At 40.3% G+C, this 18,614-nt stretch overlaps 1 protein-coding gene and 1 long non-coding RNA gene across 14 annotated transcripts in view, besides 5 other annotated features; one reads left to right on the top strand and one right to left on the bottom strand.

Annotated features, from left to right (window-relative positions):
* ITGB8 (integrin subunit beta 8) overlaps positions 1–11,488 on the bottom strand; it is an 85,989-nt gene extending 74,501 nt beyond the window's left edge. For 2 of the 12 annotated variants that reach the window (XM_047420343.1, XM_017012183.2), the window contains exons 1-2: positions 10,446–10,562; positions 9,231–9,277 (exon numbers count right to left, since the gene is read on the bottom strand). Coding sequence is in view for 5 of the 12 variants with exons in the window: in XM_017012179.2 (XP_016867668.1) it covers positions 9,321–9,447 (127 nt within the window). In the remaining 7 variants the exon portion in view is untranslated. Of the gene's footprint in view, positions 1–785; positions 982–9,230; positions 9,278–9,320; positions 10,355–10,445; positions 10,563–10,642 lie in introns of those variants that run through there. The other 10 variants (XM_017012180.2, NM_002214.3, XM_047420342.1 and 7 more) reach the window with 9 other exon arrangements.
* Positions 9,394–9,633: a silencer, noted in NCBI's record as "silent region_17991". NCBI's record gives its function as "represses an Ori minimal core promoter by ATAC-STARR-seq in GM12878 lymphoblastoid cells {active_cell/tissue: GM12878}" and the evidence as "EXISTENCE:reporter gene assay evidence [ECO:0000049][PMID:35858748]".
* Positions 9,492–12,953, top strand: ITGB8-AS1 (ITGB8 antisense RNA 1). Of its 2 annotated transcripts, NR_110119.1 has the most exons (4): positions 9,492–9,604; positions 11,472–11,564; positions 11,741–11,887; positions 12,398–12,953. It is a non-coding gene; the product is annotated as an ITGB8 antisense RNA 1 (long non-coding RNA). The 2 variants fall into 2 exon arrangements; NR_110120.1 differs by lacking the exon at positions 11,472–11,564.
* Positions 10,104–10,493: a silencer, noted in NCBI's record as "silent region_17990". NCBI's record gives its function as "represses an Ori minimal core promoter by ATAC-STARR-seq in GM12878 lymphoblastoid cells {active_cell/tissue: GM12878}" and the evidence as "EXISTENCE:reporter gene assay evidence [ECO:0000049][PMID:35858748]".
* Positions 10,574–10,863: an enhancer, noted in NCBI's record as "active region_25694". NCBI's record gives its function as "activates an Ori minimal core promoter by ATAC-STARR-seq in GM12878 lymphoblastoid cells {active_cell/tissue: GM12878}" and the evidence as "EXISTENCE:reporter gene assay evidence [ECO:0000049][PMID:35858748]".
* Positions 10,964–11,033: an enhancer, noted in NCBI's record as "active region_25693". NCBI's record gives its function as "activates an Ori minimal core promoter by ATAC-STARR-seq in GM12878 lymphoblastoid cells {active_cell/tissue: GM12878}" and the evidence as "EXISTENCE:reporter gene assay evidence [ECO:0000049][PMID:35858748]".
* Positions 11,121–11,733: an enhancer, noted in NCBI's record as "OCT4-NANOG-H3K27ac hESC enhancer chr7:20369144-20369756 (GRCh37/hg19 assembly coordinates)". NCBI's record gives its function as "activates a minimal SCP1, AML or CMV promoter by ChIP-STARR-seq in primed H9 embryonic stem cells {active_cell/tissue: H9 hESC(primed)}" and the evidence as "EXISTENCE:reporter gene assay evidence [ECO:0000049][PMID:30033119]".
* Positions 12,954–18,614: the final 5,661 nt, after the last annotated feature.

The following is an 18,614-nucleotide window of genomic DNA, read 5'->3' as shown; positions in this document are numbered from 1 at the left end:
TTTATTTTGCACTTTATGATCCACTTGTCTTCAATTCCCCATAAAAATCCAAACCAAATGCACAAAAACACAATGGAGCAATACCTTGGGAGGTATGATTTGTACTAAGAAAGAGACCAGCCAGTCATTTTGCTGCCAACAATGCAGTTCTGCTACAATAGTGTCTTTGTTTCCAACTAGAACAGCCAGTTCTACAGCAAGTCCTTGCCACCCCAAAACTTCTTTGCATCCTTTGTTCTATTGCAGTCAATGAATACCTTGCATGACTAAGCCTATCCAGCCTGGCCTCTTTGCACCTCTCCAGCAGGCAATTAGAAAAGACATTCCCTATTTGGTACTCCTTAATATAAATCCTGTCAATCCAGTCCTTGTAGAATTTTGAATTTTCCTTTTAATTATTTTCTTTGTTTGACCTCATAATATTCTAATGATCCTTTACAGCATAGTGGTAATCCCTCATTCCATAAGGATGAAGCTTTTCACCCAGCCCCCTTCCCTACCTAGTACCTGTAACAGTTACTAAGAAATAATCCTAAATATATGGTCCTTACTAAAATCAGGAAAAAAAAATGCCTTTACCTGGGAAGCTGTTTGTGGTTCAATTCCAAGGAAAGATCCCTGATACCACATGTACACATGAAACAGCAGTACTTTTAACTGTGGCTTCATTTACTATCGGCAGATCTTGAAATTTCAACCCGCTTTATCCTAAAAGGAAGTTGAGTCCAAAACCATGGAAAACACCAAAACATTCCTGGCCCAAATCCACCACACATCTCACATACCTAATATGACATATTTGGTACAGTTCTTCAGAGCTGGAATATTTCTAGTTTTTCATCCTCCTGTCTTCATCACCAGCCCTTCTCTCCACTTCCAAACTCGGTCTCTTCCATAGGCTTTGACTTGAACTAGCCCTTGACAGCTACTCTGCTTTCTTACCCTGTACTATCACGAGACTGTGAATTTTTTGGCAATCCTCTAGAATAAACAAACGATACCAATATTTATCTGGAATAGCAACAGATTCTGTCCTTAACAAATGTAACAGTATTATTTGATTACAACAAAGCAAAACATCAATAAAACACCAGGCAGAGATAGCGCACGTCTAAAACCATTATAGCAGTGATGGTTGGCTCATTGATGAGGTCAGCATGAAAGGCCACTTTATAAGACCCTATATGCTGTTTATAAAACAAACTTTTATATTTTATTTTATTTTAGACAAAGTCTCGCTTTTTCTCTCCCAGACTGGAGTGCAGTGGCACAATCTCGGCTCACTGCAACCTCCGCCTCCCGGGTTCAGGCGATTCTCCTGCCTCAGCCTCCCAAGTAGCTGGGATTACAGGTGTCTGCCACCATGCCCGGCTAATTTTTGTATTTTTAGTAGAGACAGGGTTTCACCATATTGGCCAGGCTGGTCTTGAACTCCTGACTTCAGGTGATCCACCCACCTTGGCCTCCCAAAGTGCTGAGATTACAGATGTGAGCCACCGCGCCTGGCCTAAAATGAACTTTTAGTACTTTGGATAATAGCACTCAAAATAGAAGCATCTTTAAAAATCATCTTAAAAGTATATATCTGATAAGAACACTTTAACAATGCAATTTTAAGTTAATAATCTTATTTTTGTTTCCTAAACTAATATTAGTTAAGGACTTTTTTCAATAACTGCAGGAAGATAATTTAAATATATCTGTTTAATATTAGTAGTTTCCTAGCAAGAATTGATCTTAGCACTTTTGTTAAAAGGTGGGTCTGTTTTAATTAAATTATAAAATCCCAATGGAAATCATTCTGACTTTCAATACACTTTTTTGGTGTGTAAATCAAATAATTTACTTACTGCGAAAGAGGAAATAAGGTCACATTAAGATTCACTTTAAGTCGAAAAATAGTCCTTTTACTCCATGAATATAGTATGGCACTGCTTTTTCTATATAGTCATTCACTTATAGATATTAAATATCAAATATATGCCAACTGAATAATTTGACCAAATTAGGTCATTCATGTCAGTAAAATGTTCTTTCCTAAGTTGTTTTTTTTTTTTTTTTTCGAGATGGAGTCTCGCTCTGTCGCCAGGCTGGAGAGCAATGGCACGATCTCGGCTCACTGCAACCTCCATCTCATGGGTTCAAATGATTCTCTTGCCCCAGCCTCCTGAGTAGCTGGGACTGTAGGTGTGTGCAACCACATCCAGCTAATTTTTGTATTTTTAGTAGAGACAGGGTTTCACCCTGTTCACCAGGCTGGTCTCGAACTCCTGACCTCGTGATCCACCCACCTCTGCCTCCAAAAGTGCTGGGATTACAGGTGTGAGCCACTGTGGCCAGCCTTCTAAGATATTTTTTAAAATAATAGAGGGAAATAAGTAAAACTAAATTAAGACTATGCATACATTTGACTCTCATTGTAACATGATTTGCAAGAGAGTAAAATTTTGTATAATCTGTACACATCTCAAAGATTACCAAAAGGGATTTAGTTATTAAAATATAAAAACACTTTGACATGAGGTAGTCAAGACTACCAGACTACCTTATGCAATGGTCTCTGGTGCTTTCTTTGTCTCCCCGGCTCAATAATATTTATTTGTTTATTATTTATTTATCTATTTTTGAGATGCAATCTTGCTCTGTTGCCCAGGCCTGGAGTGCTGTGGCATGATCTTGGCTCACTGCAACCTCCTGAGATCTAGCAATTCTTGTGCCTCAGCCTGTCAAGTAGCTGGGACTACAGGTGCGCACTGCCATGCCCCGCTAATTTTTGTATTTTTAGTAAAGACGGGCTGGTCTTTACTCCATGTTGGCCAGGCTGGTCTCGAACTCCTGACATCAAGTGTTCCTCCCACCTCAGCCTCCCAAAGTGATGGGATTACAGTTGTTAGCCACTGCAACCGGCCCCCAGTAATATTTAAACTAGTAGACAAGTCTGCCCCTAACTGTTTCAGGGCCAACAGCAAGAACACAAATAGCAGTGAGCATAACAGACTACATATTTAACAGCTACAAACCAGGCAAAGAAACCCATAGGTAAAATAAGTTCTATCTTCCTTCCTTGATAAATATATATGCATAATGACCTGGAAGGCTAGGTCTGAATTTGGAATATTCACCTCCAGATTTCTAGTTAGGAACTGGGCAGTGTGTGAAGCGTTGCCTCTCCAGCCATTATCTTCCCCTCTTCTCTCCCACCTCTAAATTTATTCTGCAGCACAGGTAGCCTGTTGTTTACCTGCATGGACACTTCAGCTTGCATGTCCAAGCTCTGTTTACCTCTCCTGCATCAGTGTCCTTGGCCATCTTCACCTAGGATTTGGCACAGGGGTGACTCAGTTTACCCCCAGAAGGCAGGCCATAAAAGTAGTCTGAGGCTGTTTAGGCTAAGAATTCTGGAGATGATCTAGAGGGGGTGACAGACTTTACTTGAGCAAGCCCCATGGACTCCCTGCCCATGGTTGAGGTCAATGGCCTGAGGACAGCTAGAGCTGAACCTTCCAAGGTTCAAGGTAGGGACTCCTCTCACCTTTGAAAAGCAATCTATATGTCTATAATTATGATTCAGAATGCTGACTCAAACCACACAGATCGGAATTCTGGGACCATTATTTATTAGTTAAGAGATCTGGAAGAAGTTATACAATGCCTCTTGAATTAGTTTGCTTACCTATACAATGGGAATAACAGTATATAACTAACAGGGTTGTAAGCATTAAAGGATATATTATATTTTCAAATAATGTGTCCAGGAGGGTGCCTGGCCTACAGTAAATAATACACAAAACTTAATCGTTGTTATTTTTTAACTCCAGAACTCAGTATAGTGCCTGTCATAAAGCTGTATGTGCTTTAAGAAAGTCTGAATGAATAGTCATTAAAGGAGTTAGAATAGCTTGGATTTTTTATTAATTTTTTAAGTATTTAGTTGAAAATGACTATAAATTCCAGTTTTTGTAATTTTTGAAGTATTTAGTTGAAAATGACTACAAATTCCAGTTTTTGTAATCTAATTACAATTTTGTAAAATTGTAAAATCAATTTTAAAGTTGATACCAAGGGTAAAGAATTAGGATTACTTTTTATATTTTATTATCAACAATAGAAATCATTGTCACAGAAAGTTTGAAAACAAGACAGACTTTGAAAAATAAGATTAAAGAGTACTAAGTCTCAGCTTTTAATCTTTGCTAATGATTTGTCCAGAAGGTCAAGAGACTGCTTTCTGGTATGGTCTGGGAAAACAGAAACAAGTGTCCTTTATGGTGTAACCCACTTTTAAAAGAAAATTTTATTTCTCTAAGTTCAAATTCTAGTGAGGCTTAGAAATGATTAGGGAGAATTTGCTTAGCTGCCCAATTTTAGATTGCTCACTATTATCCTCAAGTTATCTATGGGGTCATTTACTCCAGATACTTTGTGAAGACCTACTGTGTACCAAGCATTGGACACACAAAAATACAGGCAGCTTCTTCCCTCAAGGAGGTCACAGGTGGGTGTGTCCATAGCAAAGCTGGGAGGAAGTTGTATGAGGAGCCTGAAGACAATGGGGAGCTAGGGGAAAGTTCTGAGTAGAAAGGAACATGTGGACAAAGGTTTGAAATGATGAAGACTGATTAGGAAGTTCATATTATGAAGCATAATTCAAGCTTTCTCTACGATGTTCAAATCCCATCTCTCCTACTTACTAGATAGGTGACATTGGGCAAGTTACTTATCTCCTCTGCTCCTGTTTATTTGTTTCAAAAACAGGGACCTCTCTCACAGTGTGATTATGAAGACTGGACAAGAAAATGGAGTTTGGTTTTGAATGCGTTAGGGTCTTTGCCTTTAGGCGTGTAGTGGAGACATGGTTTACACAATTTGCTGCACCTTCTGGAGGTCAGGTTTAGAGATAAATATTCTGGAGGTGTCAATGTGGAAATGGTATTTAAGACACAAGACTGGGCCGGGTGTGGTGGCTCACGCCTGTAAGCCCAGCACTTTGGGAGGCCGAGGCGAGCAGATCACGAGGTCAGGAGATCAAGACGATCCTGGCTAACACAGTGAAACGCCCTCTCTACTAAAAATACAAAAAATTAGCCGGGCGTGGTGGCGGGTGCCTGTAGTCTCAGCTACTCAGTAGGCTGAGGCAGGAGAATGGTGTGAACCCAGGAGGCGAAGCTTGCAGTGGGCCGAGATCGCACCACTGCACTCCAGCCTGGGCGACAGAGCAAGACTCCGTCTCAAAAAAAAAAAAAAAAAAAAAAAGAAAACCAAGACTGGATCAGAGAAGTCCTTAGGAGTGGGTCCTGAGCCACTACTACATTTAGAGGTTAAGAAATGAGGAAGAATCAACATCAGAGATGGAGAAGGAGCTTAAACCAAGAGAGTGTGGGTCCAAGAAGCCAACAAAACTGTTTCCAAGGAGGGCAAGGTCAACAGTGTCAAGTCACCAACAGATGATACATCAAGCAGGATGGAGATTAAGAATTAGCCATCAGATCTGGCAATGTGGAGGTTACCCTGATCTTAAGAGAGTGGACTGCAGAGGTGATAAAGAAAGCCTGCTCACAATGGATTCAAAGAGAAGGTGAGGAGAAGAATCGGAGAGAGGAGTTACGGACAACTCTTTCAAGGACTTATAGCAAAAGGAGAGAAAAAATAGGAGATAAAAAGGTTTTGCCACATATATGGATATTGCTTTAAATGATACAGTAGATAGGAGAAAAACTAATCATGCAAGGGCAGGCAGATCCTTGAAACTGAAACTTTACAAGGTATACCTGCTGTGATTCCATTGGAATAAAACAATTAACATTTGTCACGGGAAGCAGATTTACTCATGTTGTTTTTCTCTGTTCATATACATGCGTATCAAAAAGCTATTACATATCCATACTTTCAAAATAAAAATATTTTTAATGGAACTATAATAGAACTATTGAAAAGTAAATGGTTGAAACTGTGTCTTTCCCATTCCTCGTGTCCTTCTCTTTTGCAATTGCTTCCCTTAAAAATTGTGAACATTCTTGTTGCCCTAAGTTTCAGTTTTTAAAAAAATTCATGCTTTAAGATTAGTTACAGTGTGTTCCTCCTCCAGTAGTATTTTTATTTACTGAAATATTTTAAAATAAAATGATATGAAAAATTTCTTTCAAAATATTTAGTTGGGAGAAGGGGGTGAATTGGGTACCAGCAGGAGCACAGATGAAAGAAGTTGGCTTTGAGTTGATGGTTAATGAAGCTGGGTGATGAGTATATAGTGGTCCCTTATACCATTCTCTCTAATTCTGTATGCATTTGAAAATTTCCATTATACCATGTTAAAAACTTTAAAAAATCATAGGGTTAATACCATGGTTAACCAAAAAGAATCCATTAAGTAGTGAGATTTCAGATAATTTGGTAACAAGAGAAGAAGTTATTTTGGGGCACAGGAATTTTCCAAAGCATATCAGCTACTTTGCTGTCAGTTTAGAGGGCAAACATGTATGATTTTTAATTGATCAGAAAGTGTCTCCATTGCTTCAAGATAGAATTAATTTGGGAGCTTATTATGCAAATAATTTAGAAGGCTGAATTTTTTGTTAATGATACCTTGGTTCTTTTAAATATCCGATCACTTTAGGTAAGCATAAATAATTCTGGGAACACTTATGCTATGCAACGCTTTGAGGGGAAGTAATGATATGGTCACAAAATAATGTTAATCTAGTTGATTGTTGTTGAAAATAATAAATAATTGATACTTGAATAAACAGAAGGTGAAATTTCATTGCAATACACAGAAGGTGAAATTTGATTGCAATAATAGTTACCGCTTTTTTAAAAGAAACTGTGATATCTGAAATTTGTTACACTTATATTGCTATATAAAAATTTAGGTAATGAAAGTTCTTAATCTTTTAAAATAAGTAAATGTGGAAACAATGTTGCTACATTAACTCTTCAAATATTAACCACTAGATATACTTTATGTTTTTCTGGTTATTTATTGACCATTTTACAGTGCTATTATTTCTCTAGCTGTGGGTAATCTTCACCAGAGACAGTTAAAAAACAAACTGCTATAATTTTTGCTACATCAGAAATCTTTGGATTTGATTAATAACATCCCCCACTGCTCACTATATATTTGTTATTAAAAGTCCACTATATGTTCGAGACCTATAAATTCTGCTTTAAAAATTAAACCCAAAGTTATGCTGGTCTTATGCAGCTTCTGGTCTCTTTTGTATGGCTTTATTGCCCTCAACATTCTCCTGGTGTAAACTACTGAGCAAGGAAACAAGATTTCCATTGTAACTGATACCTAAATTTCTATTCTGCTTTAAGCATCTAATTTGCACTGTAAAGACATATAATTTGAGACTTGTAGCTATATCACAAAAGTACAGCAGTTTATGCTGATCTCTAATTTTCTGAGTTATACTGGCTATAATTTACATTTTTTGCATGTTTTTAACTGCCATGCAAATCAGTATACATCAGAAACCTTTGTATATTGACAGAGACTGGGAAAAGGATGCCTTGTTCTGATTTCAGATAAGCATTCCCTTTTCAGGTCTGCAGGTGCAAGTAGGCCCATTCATAATATTTCCTTCAAATCAGTTTTAGACACTGGGTAGAAATGCAATGCTTTTTCACAAGAGCCTGACTAATGTTTATAAGCACAGTTAATGGTTTTTAAAAATGTACTTTAAATAGTAAATTTTAGAGGCAAGTAGGACTTTTTCCTTTGCCTGTACGTTGGGAACAAAATATACTGTGTTAACACAAATTTTGGTCATTTTACTAGTGTGTATGTGTGTTTACTAAATCTAGAAAAGCACTTTATTACTTATTGAAACAGGATGAAATTATGCTTAGCGGAAAATTTGCTGCAACAAATGCATGTTTCTTCCATTTAAGAGATAACTGATAATGAATGTTACTTTTTCCTTTGCCTTTTCACTATTTTGAAATCAACAAACAAGCCAAAAAATAACCACAAGATAAAGAGATTTACTCTAATTTCTCCATTTCAGATAACTGAGCAAATCTCCCTGAAACAAATATTAGAAAACTGTATATGCAACAATTTCCTAAAGATAGCTGGATGTTTCCATATATCTCTATATCTATATATATAAAACCTACTTATAAGGTTATGATTTGACTGTTTTAATTAGCTTCAGGCAAAACCTTGACACTTTAAAGTATAGGAGTAAATTTTAACCTACAAAACAATTACAACTATTAATTAAACTCTCCTTGAGCCCAAGAGGTCAGAGAAAGGCTCTAATATAATTTAAGGACTTGGTGACCAAACAGAGAAAAAGTGAAATTAAAAAAAAAAAAAAAGAAAGTATGACAAGAGTCACTGCATTAGCAAAAATAAATGTTGGGCCTATATTGAAAACCATTAAGAACTCATCCTAAACTCATGATTCGTCCTATTACTTAGTTGTGTAATTTTCCAACAATCCAATCTGGTATACCACCTTACATTTGATTTTGTTTCATAAATCAAAAGTCCTAAAACACCTTCTCATATGCTATTTGACTTGAACTTTCCTTTGTGATTTAGAGAAGGCAGGTATTATTAATAAACCTCGTTTTACAGATGAGGACAATGCATTTCGTAAAGAGTTAACCTCTCCACATTAAGGTAGCTCTTACACAAATGGTTTGCCTGGACAGAAAGCTGTTAATCCTGGTTCAGAGTTCTTTCTGCTTCTCTGTCTCAGAGATTGATCTCAGTGAGGGATCAATTAGATAGTATTTTTTTTTTTTAAGCCGAAAGGATGATGACTTAAAGCATTAATATCCCTCCAGTGTGGGTAATTCATTCAGATTGAGCACTAATGATAGCAGAAACTTGTATGCTGTCTTTTTCTGGACTCAAAAATTGAAGACTACTCCCATTATAACCAACTTATCTACAGCCTCGAGTTAAAGGCAAGTTAGTCCTTAGTGGACCCAAATGTTAGAAAGATAGGGAGAACATTGTGTACAGACGATGCCCTTAAGAATGGACCAGGGCCCCTAAATGACTTCTGTAAACAGGACACCCTCTTTTCCAAAATTCCTTTCTATTAGGGCTTCCTCAACACCTAGGAGTAACACAGAGTGTCTCCTCTGATAATTAGTCCTTGCTGTCGCTCCAGGGCAGAAATGCTTGACACCTGGCCTCTAGGCCATCTGTGCTGGAGGACGCTGCCCCGCACCCGCCCCCTTGAAGTTCTCTGATGACCGCAACTTACCTGGCCGGGATGCTCTGGCCGGGCAGCTCTTCGTGCCAGCCCAAGACCTTTGGGGAAGAGAAGAAAACAAAACAAAACAAAACAACTTACCACCTTGGCCCAGTCCAAGAACAAGTGAAAACACCCAGGCTGCCCAGAGGAACGAGGCGGGACCTCGCCGGTCGTTTTGCAGGCAGACAAATGCAGCGGTAAAAAAAGCCAGGGCCGAGCCGCACATAATGCAAAACAGCCCGCCCCGCGCCCGCCGCCTGACTGCCTTCCGGACGCGGGCTCGCGCCTCCCGGGCGCACCTCGGGGCCCGCGGGCCGAGTGTCGCTAGGACGTTTTCCGCAGGCCTAGCAGGCGGACCCCGCGGCTCGGAGCAAGCGGTGCAGGTAAGCGGGCCCGGGCACCGCTCGGCATCTCAGGGCCCCTGCGGCCCTCCCGGCTCGGCACGGCGGGTCCCGCGGTCTCCGCGAGAAGCACCTCCTTCGACGGCCAAGGGCCCCGGCGGCGACTGGAGAGAGGGCTCTGCAAGGGCTCCGCAGCCTGCTCCGGGACAAAGAAAAGAGCTTTTGTTTCTCTCCAGCCGGTGGGGCTTCTGCTGCATAAATCAGCTTAGCGAAGAGCCAAACACAATCAAACCCAAACAAAGCCCGAAGCTGGGGGGGAAACCACCCTAATGTACATTCACTGGGTGATGCTGGATCTGTGGGAGGGGACGCCGGCGAGGTCGAGGGGAAAAAAGTCTGTGGCGCATCAATCAGCGCAGTTGCTTCCACAGGTGGGCAGGGAGGCCAACACCATTAGTTGCAGCTTTGCAGCCCCGTCTGCGGAGCAGCGGGCAAAGACAAGTCGGCAGCGTCCTGGCTGGCAAGGGAGGAAGCTCGGGATGCCAGCAACAGGGGGAGGCGGCTCTGGGAGCGCCCTAGAAGCACCCGCCGACACCCGCAGGCACAGAGCGAGGCATCGCCGCTCCCTCCCTGGCGGGGAGTGGGGCCTGCGGCTGCGAGCGCAGGAGGGGAGGTTCCGCGAGGTGCCGGAGCCCGGCTTCGCGGGGCGGGGGCTGCGTGCCCTTGTCCTTTTCGCCTCAGTGCGCGGCTCAGGCGTCCCGCAGTCCAGAGCCCGAGTTGCTGGCGCGCTCTGGGGTGCACACGGCTAGGATGCGAGAGAGGCGAGGCCGGCGATGGGCGGGAGAGGGGTGGTCCTGCTCTGGCCCCCCGGGGGGCTCCAGACCTGCGGGTAGCCGGGTGCACTCAGGGCAGAGAGTTGCTAGGAAACCTCCCCACGCTACCGGAGCGCCTCGCCTCGGCTGCCCGCAGGCGCGGCTGCAGCCCGGGCAGGAGCAGCAGTAACAGCTCGGAGCAGCGTGGGCGGGACATTGGTGAGGCATGAAGTCACCGCGGCCCACACTCGCTCTTTGTTTTGCTCACTCCAGCTCTTTCTTTTCCCCCTTGGCTCTGATAGTTGCCATTCCCATCGTTCACAAGAACTCCTGAAGCGTAGCCGCGCAACAGGAATGGCACGCCTCGTTCCCTTCTCCCTCCTCCCCCGAATCCTTGCACCCCAACGCTCGCGGGGGTGGTGGGAGACTCGCTCAGCGCCAGCGGCAGCTGCGAGCAAACCCCAATCTCTCACCCCCGCGCTGCTCGCCGCTTTGTTCGGAGATACTCACTGCCCCGCAGCTGCTGCATACAAAGTGGAGTCAAGGGACCTCCCCTGCCCCCAACGCCCTCTACTCAGCACTTTGCTTGCAGTTAGGAGCTCGTCCTCTACCCCACCACAAGGCTGCCCCGGTGTCCCTAGCCTTTGGAGAGTTGGACCAGTCTGCAGGGGCTGTTCCCGGAGCGACTGGCCGAGATTTCTCGCTGCTCCTTCTCTGCTCAAAACCTTAACCCTGGACTGGACAGCCCTGTTTTTCCCCAGCGTCTGGTGGTGGCTCTGGGCTTTTGCAAGTTACAGTGGGTCTTTTGATCTTAAGCGTCACCTTCCCAGTAAACGGAACAAAAAGTTACAGACAGCAGCAAAGCGGGGAGAGGGGAGCTAAGGAGAGAAAGTGGAAGGCACTTCTGCCTGCTTGCAGCTCAGAAATTTAGGTGCAAGTAGGGTGCGGGTGTTATGCTGGGCAACTGCCCGGAAGCAGCGCGCCTCCTCGGGTCCTGTCATTACCACGCTAAGTCGAGGGAGGGAACTCAGTCCCCCGCATTGGAAACAAGGCAGTGTTTCCAGTTTAACACGGTGATGGTTCTCTTTTCCCTCTAGGGGCAGGAGCGATTCCCATTCGAGGAGTTTGACCTCTCATTTTAATACAACACCCGCCTCTTAGAGGCAGCAGACCAGTCCAGCCAGGTCAAGGTGAAATATGCGGGAGTTTCCCCCCTTCTTATTTAATAGTTTCCGTCTCCTTATTTGTAGTTAAAAAAAAAAAAAAAAAAAAAGTAGGAGGCGCGGTCTCTCTCTTTCTTTCTGTTGACTGAGTGAATGGAAAGTACCTGGTTAATAAACCACAACATCGAAACTCCCCCTTTCAGGTGTGGACCGCACAACGGGGTGCACAGGATTAGTTAAGCAAAGCAGGAACCCAGCTGGAAAATTAAACGAGCCCTGGATCTGCAAAGCAGGTCCCTTCGCGAGACCAAAGCCGTGATCCCAACCTTAGCAACATAATTCTACTGGAGGTGATGTACTCTAAATAAATAGAAATAAATCCAGCTCCGCTTTAATATTTATTTCCTTTCCTTAGTTCCAAGTTTGAACAGTTATAGTTTTGTTTTTTGGTTGTCTTAAAGGAAAGGCCTAAAAATTAGTTAGGATGGGTGTGAGGACTTGAAAATTTGAACACAAAAATATCATATTCAATATCTGATTAGTGACTCTTCCATTGGGCAGCCTGGGTATTTTCCAGGGGTTATGTCACAGACCTACTGAATGCAGCCACCCTTGAGACATGCAGTGCTTCAATCAAAAAAAAAAAAAATTAAATCCCTAATTCCCATAAGGACATGTCAATACACTTTAAAGTGTCTATCATATCACCATTCCATAATATTCTAAAATACAACTCTTTGTTGCTGGGTTGTAAGTGGCAGTTACAGTAATAAATAAAATATAAATGTATGCAAACAAGAAAGGATGTAACTTTATGAAATTGATGAGGTATGCACTAATTTTTGTAACTCTGTTTTTAGGTGTTGATATATATACTAATCCAGAACAACCATGTAGCAAGAGGAATAAAATGAAGTTCAGAAGTCTGTTTCGGGAAATTTTGAAGCCCTTTAGAAAGAAAGATTTCTACATTTTGTTACATGAAATTCATGCAAATATATGTCAGGTGCCAGTGCTATGGAGTTGTTGAAGAATAAGCACAATACCATTTATTACCACTTCTCAGTTGTAAAGAGGCTGTAACTCTGGTTGTCGAAATAAAATAAAATGAAATCTCCTAGATGTGACACTGTGACCCCTGCCAGTTATTTACAAACAAGTTATCTGCACATTTTGGGCTGTAAACATAAAAGTAAACTCTCTGAAAGACTGCAAATCATCTTTAGGGTTTTCTTAAAGTAAATACAACTAGTGGCCCAGGAACCAAAAGTTTGCTTGTTTCCAGTTAATGTCACTGGTCACCATAACTCACCCTTTTTCCTATGAGGAAATGTACAGCATATTTTAAAGAAATGCAGTATTGTTATCTTCGTCATATTACCTGAAGAATTCTAATAAAGGAAAAATGTTTCGGAAGATGGTGACTTGATTAATTTGTTTTTCCATCATGTTCTGCTATATTGCTTTGAAATTTCTGACAGCTAATTTTTCATCATTTGTGGTAATGAGAGGAAATGAAATTCACAGATAGTCTAAAAATAACATTTTAGTTATTCATTCCAGGCTTCCTATCATTAGAGTCTTTGAGCTGAGTTACTAAAAAGTCATAAAATTAAATTACTTAAATTTCTTCCCTACTCCTTTAACCTTGATTTCTCACTAAGTGAGTTTATGGTGAGAATGAATAAGCTATAGATAGGTAGCAGGAGTGAGGGAGACACTCAGACTGTTTTTTAAGAAATGGAATCTTGCTATCTCACTATGTTGCCCAAACTGGCCTTGAACTCCTGGTTCAAGTTTGAACTCAAGCTATCCTCCCACCTCAGCCTTCTGTGTAGCTGGGATTATAGGTGTAAGACACCACATACAGCTGTGGCTATTCACACTTTAACTAGATGTGCCCAAATTATTGATCTCATAGTGGCACCTACAGACACATTTGAATTTTAATGTTACATCTTTTTGAAGTTGGGATCAGAGCCATTCAGTACGTTTTGGGTGGGTATTCACAAGTTATCTATAAGCTTGCCTGAGACATCTCAGAAGATGATTAATGGTCAGACCAGTGAGATATATTATTGTGACTATGACCTCTAGCTTCTTCTAATGATAAAGTACATAAATTGCTTGAAGGTATTTTTCACTGAATTGTTACATAAGACAGTGTTTCTCATACTGTAGACTGAAGACTGCATACAACACAATCCCCCATAGAGTAATTCTGAGTTCTAATTCCTTGTCTCTATTCCAGGAGATTCTGAATTAGTAGATCTTGTATGGTGCTCAGCAATCTGCATTATACCAAGGTCCTCAAATGGTTTTTATATGCTCTGAAGTTTAAGAACTTCCTACTTTAATGGGTTAATACAGAGACTCCTTAAAGGCCTCATGAGTGTTTAATAACAGAGATCAGTGTCAGGTGCAAATTCAAAGAAAAATGAACTGCTGGAGCCAGTGTCTCTTGCCAAGATAGTTTATGGATGACTCAATCTGTGAGATATTAATGTTTTCTGAAACAAGACTTCCATGATTAAGCTTGGGAAATGCTGAATTAAAGTCAAATTAAATCCCTTACTAGAGGAATTTCCGGAAACTCAATAGAGCAGCATGCCATTAGATTCTCCAAAGGAAGAAACCTGTATGAGAGAACATCTCACAGATTAATTTTCCTCGAAGCATGCTACAGAGCTAGCCCCATTTTACAAATGTGGAAACTGAGACAAAGACTGGCAAAGAAACCAACCTCACTTTTTCAAGGGAATTCATGAGCAGGCAGAAATCAGAGCTCTGATTCTCCTCAATTATCTCATATTGTGATGACTTCTAGTTTCAAGTAAAGAGTCAGATTATGGCTGTTCTAAGTAAAAAAGGAAACTATTGGCTGGGTGTGGTGGCTCACACCTGTAATCCCAGCACTTTGGGAGGCCAAGGCAGGAGAATCACCTGAGGTCAGGAGTTCGAGACCAGCCTGGCCAACATGGCAAAACCCGTCTCTACTAAAAATGTAAAATTAGCCTGGCATGGTGGCACACACATGTAGCCCCAGCTATGTGAGAGGCTGAGGCATGAGAATTGCTTAAACCCTGGAGGTGGAGGTTGCGATGAGCTGAAATTACATCACTGTACTCCAGCCTGGGTAACAGAATGACACACAGTCTCAAAAAAAAAAAAAAAAAGGAAATTCTTGAAAGAAAATTGGGAGCCCACAGAATCACAGAATCAGCAGGAAGCTGGGAGACTACGACTAACCAAGGCCAGAAAACACGGAGGCATAAGCAGTAGCAGGAAGTGTCTAACTCTTAAGAACAACTTTGAATCCTCCCTTTGCTTTGGATCACTTGCTCAAGATTCAAAATCCTTGTTGGGAATATCTAGTTTTCAGAATTTTCATCATATGTTAGTACACTGGCTTTCTGGGTGTGGGAAAAGGAGAGAAGGGGCTCTCATCTTCAGCTTTCTTGGTAGAAAATATGGGTACTTTTGAATGAAACATTTTATCCGTGCATAGTCTAATCCTGTGCACAGACCCTGTGCATAGTGTTATCCTTTTATAGCATGCAGTAAAATAATACTTGTTTAGTCTTTAACTCATCGTCAGAAAGATGATGTCCCTGGCTCACCACTTCATCACATACAACTGGAAGTCTGTGTGCTAGAAGTGCTAGGGAATGAACAACATTCCTGGGTGCTGTCTTAACTGTGCACCAACCAGATGGGAAGTGAGGTATAAATACCCCAGCTCCCCTGTTTCTTGTATGAAGTCACTTTAGGCCTTGTGTTCTACACTATTTTTGAGCTAGTTTTTAATTTTCAATCTATCATGGATTGATACTTAAATAACATAAAGTAAAAATGAATTATTGGAAAAATGGGTATCACTAAAATGTCAAATTGCTATAAAAGTTTCTTAGTACTTTTAATTTTTATACATTCTTTGTCCTGGGCCAGTCTCAAACAGTAGAAGGACTGGTACTGCCACACGTTACATTTTGAGTAATATTTAGCACCATTTTCCAAAGTTCCCCTGTAGGAGTAAGCTATACTTGGTCACAGTGATAATTGCATTCAAATAGATCCTTCGTTGGTTGTCTTTCCTTCCTTCATTTCCCTGTGACCCCCAATATTTCCTGGTGTCAGGGTCCTCTTCTGGAGAAAACTACATTAAGACAAGCAATAAATGTGACTGGAAACTAACCGCTGGTGTCCTGCCTGTATGAATTTAAATTCTTTTCTTGTCTGGCTATAAGACAACCACAGTGCAAAAAAGCACATGGGCTTTAGAGTCTTATGAAGTAAATTTGAATCTGCTACCCACTAGCTATAGAATCATAGGTAACTTATTTAATTTTCTGCAGCCTCAACTCATTTATGTAATGACTATATTAAAACAACTATCAAAATTACCAATTAAAATGAAGTATCACTACACTCCTATTAGAACAGCCAAAATCCCAAACACTGGTAATATCAAATGCTGACAAGGACATAGGGCAATCCGAACCATCATCACTGCTGGTGGGAATGCCACTTTGGAAGATGGTTTGGCAGTTTCTCACAAAACTAAATGATCCAGCAATTGTGCTCCTTGGTATTTACCCAAAGGAGTTGAAAGCTATGTCTACCCCAAAGCCTGCACATGAATATTGTACCAATTTTATTCATAATTGCCCAAACTTGGAAGTAACCAAGATGTCCTCAGTAAGTGAGTAGATAAATAAATTGTGGTACATCCAGACAATAGAATATTACTCAGGACTAAAAATAAATGAATTATCAAGCCATGGGATGACTTGAAGGAAGCTTAAATGCATATTACTAAGTGAAGGACACCAACCAAAAAGTCTAAATGCTGTTTGATTCCAACCCTGAGACATTTTGGAAAGGCAATCTGATGGAGACAGTAAAAAGATAGTGTTTACCTGGGACTTGGAGAAGGAGAGATGAATAGGTGGAGCGTAGAAGATTTGCAGGGCAATGAAACTACTCTGTATGGTACTGCAGTGGTGGAATCATGGCATTATGCATTTGTCAAAACCCATGTAATGCACAATACTGAGTGAACCCTAATGTAAACTATGGACTCTGGGTGATAATCATATGCCAATGTTGATTGATCGATTGTAACAGATGTGTGATGTTGATAGTGGCTGAGCCCATGTGGCGGCAGGGAGTATATCGGAACTCTGTACTTACCCCTTAATTTTGCTGTGAACCTAAAAGTGCTCTAAAAATTAAAGTCTGTAAAATACAAACACACACCACACAAAACTACCCTGTAAAATAATTGTAAAAAATCAAAAGAGGTCATGAGCGAAACATGTTAGAATTCATCATATATTATCCCAAGGATTTTTGCAATGGTAATTAGGACTATTTTAATTTCATAATATAAACAACCTTGAAAATACATGAATACTTATTTCAAGACTTGCATATTGTCATAAAAATAACATCAAATATCTTTGGTTTTGCTGAATACATAACTTTTCCTTTTCTGGTAACTATACTATTCTTTACTCACATGAATAGATGTAGTGAGCATGTCTTTTTATAGAAGTCTGTAATCCTAGCATTCTTTATGACAATCTAGTTTTATGTCTCCTTAATCAAACAAAATTGTTCCACAATCTTTTTAGTCTGAAGTCATCTCTGTACAGTTTGATATACAACTGCATGAAAGCTTCACTTACTTGTATGTGCCAGAGACACATACGCTTAATACTGCCTTTTATTTAAAATTTAACATGTTTACACTAATATGTAGCTAGGGGGGTAAATGAATATGCAATAAGTATTAAGTATTGCTTTATTGCTCAGATTTCTAAATGGACAGCAGTATAAAGGACCAACAGCTGGTTCTCTCAAATAGAGGTATCAGCAGACATTATAAAGACAACATTTCACCATTGACATAGTTCATCTGTTGAGCCACCGTGGAATGTGGACTGATTTGCACATCATTACACAGCTAAAGGCCTTTCTGAACTTCAATAACTCAGAGGGAGCTCACAACTAAAATTCTCCCTTTCAGCATTTTCTCATGATCGCATAGCCTCTGGAGAGTGAAGTCACTACAAAATTTAAATTATTCTAATCAAATTCACATGGAATTTTTATACTTGGAATACTGCCATTCTCAGCCCCCTTCTCCAATTTCAAAATTACTTCATGTTTCACCTTGAAGAATGTGACCTTTTAACATAGTGAGGAAATTCTTTGCATTTTAGGCACAGGATATTCAATTTAAACATTCATTTAATAAATATGTAAATATTTATTGAACATTTACTATGTGTAAAGTGATGGGCCCTATGGAAAACACAAGCATCAATAGAACCCAATCCCTTTTTTGAAAGATACTATAATCTGATTTGGAAACAATATGTAATAATAATAAAAAAGATGACTCATTTGGTAAATTGTTAAAAGTAAGATAGCTCAGAAATAGAACCCAATATTAATAGCAATTTAATATAACGTAAGTCATGCTTCAAAAATCAATGAAGACGGGATAAATAATACATGGTGTTGGGACAATTATTAGCTACTTGGACAAAAACTTAATCTAGAAACTTCCTTTATATCAAAATATATTCATGATAAACTAAAGAACTTAGTGTAAAACTAGGACACAATATAGGTCAGTATTTTCTGGCGTTGGCAATGAAAGTTCTTTCTACATGTAAAAATAATTTATCCAATTTAAAGAAAACAAATGGACACATTTGATGATACTTTTTTTAAACCTTAGGTATTTATAACTATTGCAGAAATGGGTGAAAACACATACCATAGAATATGCTCATACAAACGTATAAGAAAACATTACAATAGATAAATGTGTAAAGAGGATAGGGAATACAGATGCTTAAAGAAATGGAAAAAGCCCAGCTTTACTAGTTACCAAAAAAATACTAATTTAAGAAATGAGATACTATTGGTACCCATCAAATACTCAAAGACTTTAAAAAGCACGGTGGCTCACGCCTGTAATCCCAGCACTTTGGGAGGCCGAGGTGGGCAGATCACGAGGTCAGGAGATTGAGACCATCCTGGCTAACACGATGAAACCCCGTC

Source organism: Homo sapiens, chromosome 7, assembly GCF_000001405.40.
Source record: "Homo sapiens chromosome 7, GRCh38.p14 Primary Assembly".
Classification (NCBI taxonomy): domain Eukaryota; kingdom Metazoa; phylum Chordata; class Mammalia; order Primates; family Hominidae; genus Homo; species Homo sapiens.
Note: the sequence above shows the minus strand (reverse complement) of the source record. Positions and strands in the feature narration are given on the sequence as shown.